The sequence below is a fragment of the Homo sapiens genome, chromosome 5 (genome assembly GCF_000001405.40).
Source record: "Homo sapiens chromosome 5, GRCh38.p14 Primary Assembly".
NCBI classification, from domain to species: domain Eukaryota; kingdom Metazoa; phylum Chordata; class Mammalia; order Primates; family Hominidae; genus Homo; species Homo sapiens.
The window spans coordinates 172,897,805-172,910,838 of record NC_000005.10 but is presented as its reverse complement, the minus strand read 5'-3'; the positions used below and the strand labels follow the sequence as shown (position 1 = coordinate 172,910,838).

Below are 13,034 nucleotides of genomic sequence, written 5' to 3'. Positions count from 1 at the left end.
AGTAATTCATTCTGGGCCAGGCACGGTGGCTCATGCCTGTAATCTCAGCACTTTGGGAGGCTGAGGTGGGTGGATCACCTGAGGTCAGGAGTTCGAGACCAGCCTGGCCAACATGGTGAAACCCCGTCTCTACTAAAAATACAAAAATTAGCTTGGCATGGTGGTGCGCACCTGTAATCCCAGCTACTCGGGAGGCTGAGGCAGAAGAATCGCTTGAACCCAGGAGGCAGAGGTTGCAGTGAGCCAAGATCGTGCCATTGCACTCCGGCCTGGGTGACAGGAGTGAAACTCCGTCTCAAAAAAAAAAAAAAAAAAAAAGAAGTAATTCATTCTTTTGGTTAAAACAAAATAGGTGTGAAGTCAAAAAGGGAATCTCCCAGCCCTTCACTGTTGCAGATGCTCTTGAGCCCTGTCCTGCACTCTCTCATGGATGGTGGACCGCTCCAGCTTCTCTAGGTGTCAGCTGCCAATGACTCAGAGCTGCGCCCTTCTCCAGATGAATGCTCTTGGCTGACCGGAGGTCTTCTCGCTTGAGATGCTTGGGAGGTGATATGACCCCTGCCACGCACACCACTCTGCAGCCATTACCCAATGACATGGATAATAACAGCCTGGTCCCATTGCTATTGGGTGTGACAAATGCTATGGTGTCATTCACACCCCACAGCATCCTGTGAGATCAGGCTGAGTTTGGACTTCAGCTGAACACACATCTTTGCTTATCCTGTCGTACTGCCCTATCCTGCGTTTCTCCCTTACAGCTTCCTCCCCTCAACAAGTCACTTGCATGAGACTCTCAGGCTCTGCTGCGAAGCTGTAACATGACCCTAAGAGACATCCCACCTCCCTGCACCAAATCAGCTGCTCTCCAGGGTTAACCCCTATGAGTAGTGTCTTGTGTTTATTATGCCAGAAAACCTCCAAGTGCATGCATACGCAATTATATTCTCCTCCAAAAAAGAGTGGGGAGAACCATATGTTGGCTTGGCTTGTCCTGGAGATCTTGCCATTTCTGCACACACACATTTGCCCTAAGGAGGTGTCCTGCTGGAGGGAGGGGCTGCGTGGAGTACTCACACTCGCAGTGCAGATTGGGTAAACTGATGTTCAGACTGACGTCGATCTTGCCACCGCTGTCCTTGTCTGGGTCATCGACATAGAGCTCGTTCACACTAGGGGAAAGACAAGTATAGGAACCTTTGTTGAGATGGCGGCAAAGATCTCAGCTGCGGGGGACAGCCGGGGATCACTTCACTTGGTGACCACAACTTAGATAACCCAGACTCCACCTGGGCAGAGCCTGCACCTCCTGTGCCCTCAGGCACGGGTCTAGGCTGCACTCTTCAAGTGCAGCCTTACCTCTCAGGACGGGAGGGCTGGGCTGGGCGCAGAGGCTCATGCCTGTTATCCCAGCACTTTGGGAGGTCAAGGTGGGTGGGTCACCTGAGGTCAGGAGTTCAAGACTAGCCTGACCAACATGGTGAAACCTCATCTCTACTAAAAATACAAAATTAGCTGGGCGTGGTGGCGCATGCCTGAAATCCCAGCTACTTGGGAGGCTGAAAATCACGAACCCAGGAGGCTGAGGTTGCAGTGAGCCGAGATTGCGCCACTGCACTCCAGCCTGGGCAACAAGAGTGAAACTCCGTCTCAAAAAAAAAAAAAAAAAAGAGGGGAGGGCTGGGGCTCAGGAAAGAGAAGGGGTGGGGTCAGATAGCACGGTGGTAAGAGCATATCTTTCAGACAGATTCAAGTTCAAATTCTGGTTCTGGCACTTCCTATGCTCACCTCTGTGAACACACCTGTTAAGTGGGGATAACACCACCCACTACGAATAAGGTGGTTTGAACACTAAAATGAGAAATAGGGGTCTTATAAGGGATCAGGGCCTGGCGCCAGCAGGCACAGAGGACCTTACAGCCTCCTCTCTTGAGGTCCCCTTCCCCCAGCCGGGAAGCCAGGAATTCCCTGATGCCCATCCGTAGGGGCAGAACCGGTTCTGAGAAACGACTTGACGGCTGTATTAATTTCCTGTGGCTGCTGTAACAAATTATCACAACGGGAATGGCTTAAACCAACACACATTTATTGTCTTATGCTTTTGGAGGTCAGAAGTCTAAAACGGGCTGTGTTCTTGGGAGAATGCATTTTCTTGCCTTTTTCAGCTTCTAGGCGCTGCCTAGGCTTGTGGCCCCTTCTCCCAGTTCCAAAGCCAGCAGCTTCCCCCTTCTCTGACCTCCACCTCTCTCTTTTTTTATTTTTTGAGACAGAGTCTCACTCTGTTACCCAGGCTGGAGTGCAGTGGCGCGATCTCGGCTCACTCCAACCTCCATCTCCCAGGTCCAAGCAATTATTCTGCCTCAGCCTCCCGAGTAGCTGTGACTACAGGTGCGTGCCACCACTCCAGCTAATTTTTGTATTTTTAGTAGAGATGGGGTTTCACCATATTGGCAAGGCTGGTCCCGAACTCCTGACCTCATGATCCACCCCCCCCCTCCCCCCTCCCCCCCTCCCCTCTCTCCCCCCCCCCCCGCCCCCGCCTCAGCCTCCCAAAGTGCTGGGATTACAGGCGTGAGCCACTGTGCCTGGCCTCCACCTCTCTCTTACAGGAACTCTTGTGATTTCATCCAGTCCACCTGGCTAACCCAGGATCCTCTCCCCATCTCGAGATCCTTAATGTAATCACATTTGCAAAGTTCCTTTTGAATGCAAGGTAACACGGCCACACACATCAGGGACAGGGACCTAGACATCACAGGGGGCAGGGGGTCATTATTCTGTCGACCGCATCGGCCATATTTAGGGGCAGGTGGCTCCACAGACAGCCATGTCACCTTGCTGTCAGCAGCACAGTGTTGGCATCTGTTAGCAATCCAAATTTGCTCAACAAATACTTTTTTGAGTACCTACTACCTGTCAGGAGCCAGAAGCAGCAATGAATCAGACAGATGCTGTCTCTACCTTCTTCAAGCTTATAGACACAAGAACCAGACATCACTCAGCCCCTAAATATGCTGCCACCCCCAACGCTGATTAGTACTTGACAGAAAGCTGCAGGGGGCCATGACAGGGACTACAGGGCCACTGACCTTTGGGGAGAAGGGGCTGGGAAGACCTCTCTGAGGTGTGATTGAGGTCTGGGGGATGCGTAGGCATCATCCTGGCAGCATGTGCAAAGGCCTGGAGGTTGGGGAGGGCATGGCTGCTTTGGGGAACTGAATGAAGGTCACCGTGGTTGCAGTGTAAGGAGGCTGCACGAGGCCTTTATACTTTTTTTTTTTTTGACAGAGTCTTGCTCTGTCCCTCAGGCTGGAGTGCAGTGGCGCGATCTCGGCTCACTGCAACCTCCGCCTCCCGGGTTCAAGCGATTCTCCTCCCTCAGCCTCCCAAGTAGCTGGGACTACTGGCATGCGCCACCATGCCTGGCTAATTTTTGTATTTTTAGTAGAGGTGGGGTTTCACCAGGTTGGCCAGGCTGGTCTTGAACTCCTGACCTCAGGTGATCTGCCTGCCTCGGCCTCCCAAAGTGCTGGGATTACAGGCATGAGCCACCGTGCCTGGCCGAGGCCTTTAGGCTTGATATGAGCACAGCCACGGGGTCAGGCTCGCACTCACACGGGCTCCCTCTGGCTGCTGCAAGGAAGACCCACTGGAGGGGCTGCTGTGCAAGAGGGAGACCAGGCAGGGGATGGCGGCGCCTTGGATGGGGTGGGATGGGAATGGAGAGGAGGAGGGCTGTAGGAACCCACGTAGAGCAGGCGGGACTTGCTGATGGATGGGACTGGGCGGAGGAGGGTGAGGTGAGGGGGGAATGCAGACACACTGCTGTGTTTCTTCCTGGACCCATTCTTTGGGCTGAGAGCCCTTGGAAGAGGAACAGGACCAGCAGGAGGGAGAGGTGCTGAGTGCCAGAAGCTGTGCTGAGCCCAGGTGTCTTGAGGCATCCCCAAGTAGCTGCTGGATGTCTGATGGCCGCATCTGATTCCCCGATAATGCCCCCCACCCAGAGGGAACCAAATCTAAAGGCCTGGCCTAGGGGGCGGCTGAAGGGGCAGTGCTTCAGGTGGCTGGGCTGTGGTTATTTTAAACATTTATTAGGCCCCTTGGGTCCAGTCCCTAGGCTATAAATAAAAGAGAACTGCCCTATCTAAGCAATGAAGACTCCAAGAGAGCTTTGTAAATGGCCACATCTTAGGGAAAGAATGAGTCAGACCAAGGCAAAGGAATTTCGTTTTTACTAAGACCACATCTTTGCGCCCCTAGCACCCGGTGTGATGCTGTTCACAAGGAACGGTGGGCTCTGAAAAGACACCTGGGGCTTCTCTGTGGGGCCCACAAGGATATTCCCAGAGACAAGAGTGCAACAGATGGGCCTCCACTCGTTAAGCTGGGGGAGGCCTACTACGTGCATTCATGCTGTCCCATGTGCGCCTGTGAAATGCCCTGAGCCCCATCTTAAAACCAGGGAACAGGCTCGGAGAGGGTGTGTCCCATCCCCGGAGTCACATGCTAGGAAATGGCCGAGCTAGAATCTCAACCCAGCCTTTCCACAGCTCAGGCTGCCTCCCAGCCCTCTCCTCAGCATCAGGGTCAAGGAAGAAAATGAAGGAGGGCCCTGGTCCTGGGAAGCCTTAGGATGGGAGAGGGGAGACACGGACCTGCGCTTGACCTTGCTTGTAGTGTTGGCCCCAATCAGAGGCCACCAAGAGCAAAGGAGCTGGAGGGAGAGAGGCAAACAGGAGCCCAGGAGGTTATGACAGACAGGACTAGCTGGATTTCCTAGGCCAAATAAGAATTCCTAACCCTAGCTGGGGAAGGTGACCACTCCCACCTTTAAACACCGGGCTTCTAACTCAGCTCACACCTGACCAATCAGGTAGTAAAGGGAGCTCACTGAAATACCAATTAGGCTAAAAGCAGGAGGTAAAGAAACAGTCAAATCAGCTATCGCCTGAGAGCACAGGGGGAGGGACAATGATGGGGATATAAACCCAGGCATTCGAGCTGGATTGGGCAACCCCCTTTTGGTCCCTCCTTTGTATGGGAGTTCTGTTTTCACTCTATTAAGTCTTGCAACTACACACTCTTCTGGTCTGTGTTCCGGCTCGAGCTGAGCTTTAGCTCGTGGTGCTGATCGCAGTCGTCACAGACCCACCGCTGACTTCCACCCCTCTGGATCCGGCAGGGTGTCCGCTGTGCTTATTCAGCGAGGCTCCCATTGCCGCTCCTGATCGGACTAGAGGCTGGCCATTGTTCCTGCGTGGCTAAGTGCCCGGGTTTGTCCTAAATGAGCTGCACACTAGTCGCTGGGTTCCACAGTTCTCTTCCGTGACCCACGGCTTCCAATAGAGCTGTAACACTCACCGCATGGCCCAACGTTCCATTCCTTGGAATCCGTGAGGCCAAGAACCCCAGGTCTAAGAACAAAGACCCGCCGGTAACAGGCCCGAGGAGGATCGGCCTCCCTACAGCCAAATGCTCTGCCTGGCCTTCAGCACCCAATTTCTACCCCAGCTGTAATGTGCAACTCTGGAGAGCTGTTGAGTAATGAAATTGCTGGGTGATTAACACACAGTCAACTAAGGAGAGCCTGGGCTTCCCTTCCCAGCCAGGAAGCTGCCTGAGACTCTTCCTTGAAGCAACTCACCTTTCCCACCTGGCGAGGCTGGGCCTCCGCACAGCACTGAGGGATTGTGGGATGATGTCATCCACTGGCAACCCTCTGGAGGTGACCTCAGCCAAGAGCAAAGTGAATCCCAGGTGTGGCGCCAAGGTGAGCTCACCCACAAGGCCCCAAGAAGCCTCTCCCAGGCGTGGGTCCCTGTCTTCCTAACCAGAATAAGCAGAGAACAGGCTCCGCAGGGCTAGAGGGCCACCCAGAACAAGGGGGCTGCGGTGCTGGGCAGGGACGGCCTGAGGCGCTCTGGCCAGGCTGGTTATGTAAGGCCAGAACTGGCTGCTCCCAGGCTCCTTCCTGGAGGGCCCCAGGCTGTGAGATAAACACAATTCAATCACCTGGGCTGCCTGATGAGGTCAATAAAGCCGCCTTCGCCTTCGTGTCCAAGGCAAATGTTCCAGGGCTGCTGGCTTCCTGCCACCCCAGCCAGCGCCACGAGCTCACCCACAACCACCCCATGGCAGGGGCCTGCCAAGGCTAACTAACTTCATTGGCTAGGGCTGAACTGATTTTAAAAGGCCAACGGGCTGCCAGAAATCAACCCACCTGGAAGAAAAGGAAATGTTTTTTGTGGATTCATTGTGGTTTGAGGACTTCCATGGGCCTGACTCCCCTGTCACCAGTGTGGGCAGTGGGAAGGCCTATGGGGGCAGTGGCAGACCGGTGTGGGCTCACCTCCTGGCTCTGCCACTTAGGAGCTGGGAGACCTAGGACACACTGCTTCACCTCTCTGAGCCTCAGTTTCCTCATCTGTAAAACTGGAAAAGCTTTCAATCGGTTCGAAAATCAGCAAAATTAATCTATGGCAATGGAAGTCAGAATAATAGTGGTGGGGGCTACTGACTGGGAGGGGCTCAAGGGACCCTTCTTTGGTGACAGAATGTATTATGTCTTCATCAGAGTGATGGTTACGTGTGTAAACACAGGTGAAAATTCATCAGGCCTCTACCTTAATATTTGTATGCTTTGCTGTATGTAAGTTACACATACCTCACTAAAATAAGAAAATAAGAAAGGAAAGGAAGGAGGGAGAGAGGAAAGGAGAGAAAAAGAGGAAAATAAGGATAAAGATTCCGTCTACTTCACAGGGCTGCTGGATGACTGCCAGGTCAAGCTGTTGGCTGCCCCAGGGCAGGAGAGTGAGTGAGTGTGTGTATGTTAGTGTGAGTCAATGTGTGTGTGTGTGTGTGTGTATGTGTGAGACTCATCTCTCTCTTGAGGGCCGATTCCACACCCTTCTTGGTAAAGAAAATACAGCAGTGCAGGGGAAGCCTAGGCTACCAGGGTTCGAAGCCTAGGCTACCAGGGTTCAAAGCCTAGGCTACCAGGGTTCGAATCCTGGCTCTGCCACCTCTTGGCTGATTGACTTGGGCAAGGGGCTTCCCATCCATCAGTTTCCCCAGATGTAAAATGGGGACAATCATAGGGGTTGCTATGGGGTTGCTGAGAAGATCAAATGAGAACAAGAGCAATGCTAAGTGTGGTCTTAGTAAACAGTAAGTGCTCAATAAATGTCCATGGTTTTTATCATTATTATTAATATCGATGCTCAAGGAGTTGATCCAGTGTTTAATAAGGGTACTATTCTCCCTTCACGTCGATGAAACCAGGCTCAGAGGAGCACAGCTGGCTGGCCAAGATCATAGGACCAAGAGGAGGCAGAGGCAGGATCTGAGCCCAGGGACAGGGGGCCCAGAGCCCATGCTCTTTCCAAGGCATTGCACTGCCTGGATGGGATGGGAATCGGTGAAAAGCTGAGGGGCCGGTGGCCCTCAGTGGACATGTGATGCAGGCATCCTAGTCCTTTTTCATAATCTTCAGGTGTGTCCCCTCCCACCAGGGCCCAGGTGCCTGCAGGGTACAGGGGTGCTTAGGGGTCCAGTTGCGTCTGTCCCACAAGCCTCTCCCACTCCCGTCAACACCCCCAGGACGAGGGCTCCCTGAGCCTCAGCACAGAGCGTGTGCTCACAAACTTCAGTGGAATGAGCCTGAGTGGAGGAGGGAGTCCTCAGCAGAACTCCCAGGATGCAGGGAAGGCACGCGCTGGTGGAGCAGTCGGGAGCACATTCCAGGTGGGGGACGCCAGATGGCGTCAGGGAGTCAGGCGAGTGCGTGGGAGGGTGGGGGTGTGGGTGGACAGTGGCCTTGTAGGGAGAGGTACGCAAGGGCCTGGGGAGGTGTGGGTGGGGGGAGTGTAAATGGAATGTGGTGGAGGGCCTTGAAATTCTAGTCTGAGGCATGAGTTCGATGACATCTATACAAAACAATTTTATTTGCTTTTTGAAGAGCACTTAAATAGTTCAGATTCCTGCCTGAAGTCTCTGACCTCTATGCTTCAAAATTTGATCGAATGGAAACTTAGGCGGCGGTGAGGCCTGCCGCAAGGGCTTGGGGTGGGGTGGAGGGAGGGATGGAGATTCTGCAAGCACGTGCTCCGGAGCCTTGAGTTTCAAATCCTGAGTCGTCCAGGTAAAAGTATGTGCATCTATTACCAACCAGGTGGATGTCTAAAATACATCCCTCGACAGCCAGTCACCGGGTTCTGCCCACCCCTGCTCCAAAGCCAAAGTCCCAGCACCCTCGGCCCCTCTGACTTGGGTCATCCCCCAGCTCCCACCAGGGCTTTGGCCTCTGGGTGGCCCCACACCAAACCCATCTTCACAAGGGGTGAGCTGTCTGAGACATAAACCCGTCACTCCACACTCAGACGCCCTCAGGCCTCCTATTGCTAAGAGCAATGTCCTTCATGCTCCTTAATGGGATGCCTGGGGCCCTCTACCCAGCCTGGCTCACAACCCAGGCTCAAGGCAGGCAACCTGGAGACTTCCAGCTCCTCCTCCTGGTTAAGCCACTGCTCCCCACTCCGGGCCTCCTACGGGGAGCCTGTGAGAACACCGTGACCTCCAGGTGACCTCCAAGCTCCCACCTCCCAGGCTTCCATCTGCCTGTTTGGCCACCTCACCCTAGAAGGGTGCATCCAAGTCCTCCAGTCAACTATTCTGATCAAAAAGCAGTGGCTCCCATGAGCCTGGGGCCCTGAAATGCTGGGGCCAGGGAAGTGGGGTACAACAGAGGGGAGGTGCTGAGCCTGGGCTTCAGCATCACAGACCCGTGTTTGACTCCAGTTACACCACTTAGTGCTTCATGTGGTTTTGGCCGCCTGGTGCCTCAGTTTCCCCAGCTGTAACATGGGGTGAACAGTAGTAGTTGCCTCAAGGGGTTCTGCGATGACCAATGAGATGACCATCATGAAGTGCTGACCTGCCGGGGGCAGCCTGCATGCCTATAATCCCAGCACTTTGGGAGGCCAAGGTGGGAGAATTGCTTGAGCCCAGAAGTTTGAGACCAGCCTGGGTAACATACAGGGAGACCCCTGTCTCTACAAAGAATTAAAAAATTAGCCAGGCATGGTGGCTCATGCCTGTAGTCCCAGCCACTCGGGAGGCTGAGGCAGAAGGATCGCCCTGGAGGTCGAGGCTACATTAAGCCATAATTGAGCCACTGCCCTCCAGCCCGGGCAACAGAATGAGGCCCTGTTTCAAAAAACAAACAAACAAAAAATAAAAATAAAAATAAAGTGCTGACCTAGGTGTTGGCATGCACACTATAAATCCATGAGTTATAGTATGGAAGGTACCATGAGTTATATTACATTATAAACTATCAGTGGAGAGTTCCAGTTACTATATTTTATTAGTATAAATCCTCATGAGGTTAATAATTATTCAGAGCAGTCAGAGACTGGGCAGTCAGAGGCTGGAACATTCTGTGGCCAGGTTGCCTGAGGAGGGGCCTGCTCCCTGAAAACACGGAGTTTCAGAACACTCTGTGGGGCCTCTTTCCCAAGGATAATTAACGGCCTGTCCAAAGCCAGGTTGGAGCCCAACCACCCAAACAAATGTGCCTCCCCCTCACCCCCCACCAGGCCCAGGCCAGAATAAGCGTCTTATGTCACTGATAACCACAGGCTGGGGCTGGAGCCATGTTGATCCAACCAACGGTGACCTCATTTCCTTAAGTTACAATCTCATGGTGGCGGGAGGGGGCACTGACCCCACTGTGGCCACAAACCTGCCACAGAGGGCCAGCCACCCAGAAGACGAGAACTGTGACCTTCAGTTGTTCCCAAACCTGTAGGGCTTCCTGGGGGCCACAAGCTTCTGACAACTGGAAGACCCCAAAGATGTGATGCTTTCTCCTCTCGATTGCTCTGTAAGTCTTAGGGCTCATCCTGCGGAGGCCCTTCGGGCAACTCCTATACCTTAGTAAGGAGGGAAGGGGACATTAGGGTCACTGCATCTTCATAGCTGGAGCATCTGGCCTCAGCTCCGGACAGATCTCTCTATTCATCTCTGCCTCCCTCCCTCTCTCCAGCCGCTGACTTAGCACAGGGTTGGACTCAAGGCAAATGCTCAAAAAATGTCCTCATGTTTTTTTTTGTTTTTTTTTTTTGAGATAGGGTCTCGCTCTGTCTCCCAGGCTGGAGTGCCGTGGTGCAATCATGGCTCACTGCAGCCTGGATCTCTTGAGCTCAAGTGATCCTCCCACCTCAGCCTCCCAAGTAGCTGGGACTACAGGTGTGTGTGTCCACGGCTAACTAATGTTTTTAAAATTTTTTTGCAGAGACAGGATCTCACTGTGTTGTCCAGGCTGGTCTCGAACTCCTGGGCTAAGTGATCCTCTGGCCTTGGCTTTTCAAAGTGCTGGGATTACAGGTGTGAGCCACTGCACCTGGCCCCCTTCCTCCCCTCATCCCTAAGCTTTGTACCTCTCCAGGGACTCGGTGGGATCAGAGCGTCCGGGATGCCGCTGGGAGAGAGGGAGAGGAAGTCCTGGCACGGGGGAATGGGGAGCAGTGGGAACACACTGTGCTCTTCAGAAAGAAGCAGCCCTGCCCTTGGGAAGCTGCATGAGTTGTCTGGGCTTGCTGGAAGGGCCCTTCCCCAATGCTCCCGGGCATTCTGCGGGTGGGGCCCCACCTGCTCGAGCCTCAAGCTGTGACGTCAAAACTCACTTGTTGGCAGCCCATTGCCTCAGTGCCCCACCTCATGTGGGATGAGCTGGGAATGCCACCCCACACGCTGTCAGCAGCAGGCAAGAGAGGCATCTTCTTAACTCAAAGCGGAAGAGGGGACAAGGAATTCACATTCCCTGAGTACTTATATGCCTGGTGCGGAGCGGCCTTAAAACCTTTTTAGAGTTAGATGCAGACTATGTAGGAAATGAATAAATGCACGAAGAGATATGGACCTTATGATATTAAAGTATAGCCGCACTATATTAAGTTAGCTTTCAGCTAAATAATCTTGTTTGATCCTCATAAAATATCATGTACCTGCAGCCATCTCATTTTCTACCTCCTGCCCTGCTTTAGTTCTTGTCTTTGGAGTACTTGCCCCTGATCGATACAGTCTAGTTTTGTTTGCTTGTTGACTGTGTCTACCACTGGCGTTTTCAGCTCCTCCATGTGTGGAGCCACAGAGCAGTGAGTGTGCAGGTCCAGCCCTGGGCTCCACGAGCTCATCATCAAGAAGTGAGTCCCAGGCTAGGCGCAGTGGCTCACGCCTGTAATCCCAGCCTGGGATTACAGGCTGAGGCGGGTGGATCATTTGAGGTCAGGAGTTCGAGACCAGCCTCACCAAAATGGTGAAAGGCTGTCTCTACTAAAAATACAAAAATTAGCTGGACATGGTGGTGCTTGCCTGTAATTCCAGTTACTCAGGAGGCAAAGCACAAGAATCTCTTGAACTCGGGAGGCGGAGCTTGCAGTGAGCCGAGATCACGCCACTGCACTACAGCCTGGACGACAGAGCGAGACTCCGTCTCCAAAAAAAAAAAAAAAAAAAAAAAGAAGTAACTCCCAATTCTACCTGGCAGCTCAGAAGGCCTGGCCCCTCTCCGTCCTGCCTGCTCTACCTCCTACCCTCTCCGCTTGCTCACTTTGACCTGGCTGATTGGCCTTCTTCCTGCCTTCACATACACCAGGTCATCCCTGCCTGAGGCCCTTTGCACCTGCTGGTGTCCTGCCCACAGCACATAAAGCCACCTGCCTGGTGCCTGGTCTCAGCAGATGACACATGTGTGCCTCTGTCACCTTGCTCAGAACATGACAGGCCTGCCAAGCCAAGCAGGTCCCCTCCTAGAGGGTGGGGTACAGCCTGCAGAGGCCAGTGGGTGCCTGGCATACAACAGGTACCTCATAACATTAGCAAGTCTCAACCTCTTGCCGCTCTCCCTGCTTCGAGCTCTGATTCATGATAGGGTGATCCTAAGATGTCCAGTGACTGAGTTGTACAGAGGGGAAGATGCTTGACTTGGACATGGCCATCTCCCATTAGAGGCCTGGGGGGAATAAAACCCCTTCTTCGAACCCTGCATGGCCACAGGGTCATGTCTTGGGAAGCAGACCAACCTCTCCCAGAGCTGGAAGGGAGCTCTGACTCTGGTCTACTCTCCTTCATTTGGCTACCAATACTGAGACCCAGAGGGGTTCGGCAACTTGCATAGGGTCACACAGCAAAGTAGTAATTAAGCAGAGACCTGGCCCTGGGTCTCCCAATGCCTTATCTTGTACTCTTCCCACCACTGTAAAAGGTCCCCTGGGCTTTGGCGCCATCAGGGTTAAAACAGGATCAGAGTGACCAGGAAAGGCAAACTCTCCCATGCCAGGGGAGGGCTGAAAGGTATACCCAGAAACAAGGTGAGACCAGCCCTCCTGTCTCATAGGCCTTTCAGTGTGCTGGTCAAACACATGTGGGCTAGGGAGATAGGCAGGGCTGGGAGCCAGCTCCTAACTGTATGGCTGTGGGCAGGTCCCTCCACCTCCCTGGGCCTCAATTTCCTCTTTGTAAAGAGGGGGCAGCTCCCTCCTGAGGCTGTTTGAGAACTAAAGGTGGTAATGCTTGTATAATGAGAGTCTTCTTGGGCTAAGCAGCTATGTATTTAGTTTCCTATTGTCTTGTGGCTGAGTGGAGGCAAAGGAAACCAAGAAATCCCATTAGTGAAAAAGAAAATTCCAGTGTTGAGCAGGAGAGTGGGTGGCCAGGGCCGAGCTCCGTGATGACTTTCCGGGCTGTAAACACAGAAATGAAGAGGCTTTGAAGCCTCAAGCCAGTGCCAAAGGCAGGAAGCTCCTGGGTCTAATTCCATCACAGAGGGGCGTCCGATGAGGTCGTGACTGCATAATCCTAATGGCATTCTGTTACACACACCCCAGAGCGTTTACTAGGTTATCCAGACAACAGATAATTCTAGGAATCAGGAATGGTTTAACTCTGCGTCAGCCACTGCCAGGAAGCCTGCACCGATTCCTCACCAAGTGTGGGCCTGAGAAATGGGAAGGGGGTTAGTCCAGGGG

General features: G+C 53.2%; 1 protein-coding gene across 12 annotated transcripts in view, besides 6 other annotated features; it reads right to left on the bottom strand.

Moving 5' to 3' along the window:
• ERGIC1 (endoplasmic reticulum-golgi intermediate compartment 1) overlaps window positions 1-13,034 on the bottom strand; it is a 118,433-nt gene that overhangs the window by 41,845 nt on the left and 63,554 nt on the right. For 11 of the 12 annotated variants that reach the window (NM_001031711.3, XM_047417410.1, XM_047417408.1 and 8 more), the window contains exon 4: window positions 1,078-1,172. The exons of the other annotated variant lie outside the window; for it this stretch is intronic. In NM_001031711.3, the coding sequence (NP_001026881.1) occupies window positions 1,078-1,172 (95 nt within the window). The remainder of the gene's footprint in view (window positions 1-1,077; window positions 1,173-13,034) is intronic. 12 annotated transcript variants of the gene reach the window in all.
• Window positions 613-672: an enhancer, noted in NCBI's record as "active region_23648". NCBI's record gives its function as "activates an Ori minimal core promoter by ATAC-STARR-seq in GM12878 lymphoblastoid cells {active_cell/tissue: GM12878}" and the evidence as "EXISTENCE:reporter gene assay evidence [ECO:0000049][PMID:35858748]".
• Window positions 5,056-6,255: an enhancer, noted in NCBI's record as "P300/CBP strongly-dependent group 1 enhancer chr5:172331587-172332786 (GRCh37/hg19 assembly coordinates)". NCBI's record gives its function as "activates an origin of replication core promoter dependent on BRD2, BRD4, P300/CBP, MED14 and CDK7 cofactors, with strong dependence on P300/CBP, by STARR-seq in HCT116 cells {active_cell/tissue: HCT116}" and the evidence as "EXISTENCE:reporter gene assay evidence [ECO:0000049][PMID:35650434]".
• Window positions 5,056-6,693: a biological region, named in NCBI's record as "P300/CBP strongly-dependent group 1 enhancer GRCh37_chr5:172331587-172332786".
• Window positions 5,736-6,693: an enhancer, noted in NCBI's record as "H3K27ac-H3K4me1 hESC enhancer chr5:172331149-172332106 (GRCh37/hg19 assembly coordinates)". NCBI's record gives its function as "activates a minimal SCP1, AML or CMV promoter by ChIP-STARR-seq in naive and primed H9 embryonic stem cells {active_cell/tissue: H9 hESC(naive and primed)}" and the evidence as "EXISTENCE:reporter gene assay evidence [ECO:0000049][PMID:30033119]".
• Window positions 5,939-6,233: a silencer, noted in NCBI's record as "tiled region #6770; HepG2 Repressive non-DNase unmatched - State 14:Gen5', and K562 Repressive non-DNase unmatched - State 23:Low". NCBI's record gives its function as "represses a minimal TATA promoter and a strong SV40 promoter by Sharpr-MPRA in HepG2 and K562 cells {active_cell/tissue: HepG2 | K562}" and the evidence as "EXISTENCE:reporter gene assay evidence [ECO:0000049][PMID:27701403]".
• Window positions 8,593-9,103: an enhancer, noted in NCBI's record as "H3K4me1 hESC enhancer chr5:172328739-172329249 (GRCh37/hg19 assembly coordinates)". NCBI's record gives its function as "activates a minimal SCP1, AML or CMV promoter by ChIP-STARR-seq in primed H9 embryonic stem cells {active_cell/tissue: H9 hESC(primed)}" and the evidence as "EXISTENCE:reporter gene assay evidence [ECO:0000049][PMID:30033119]".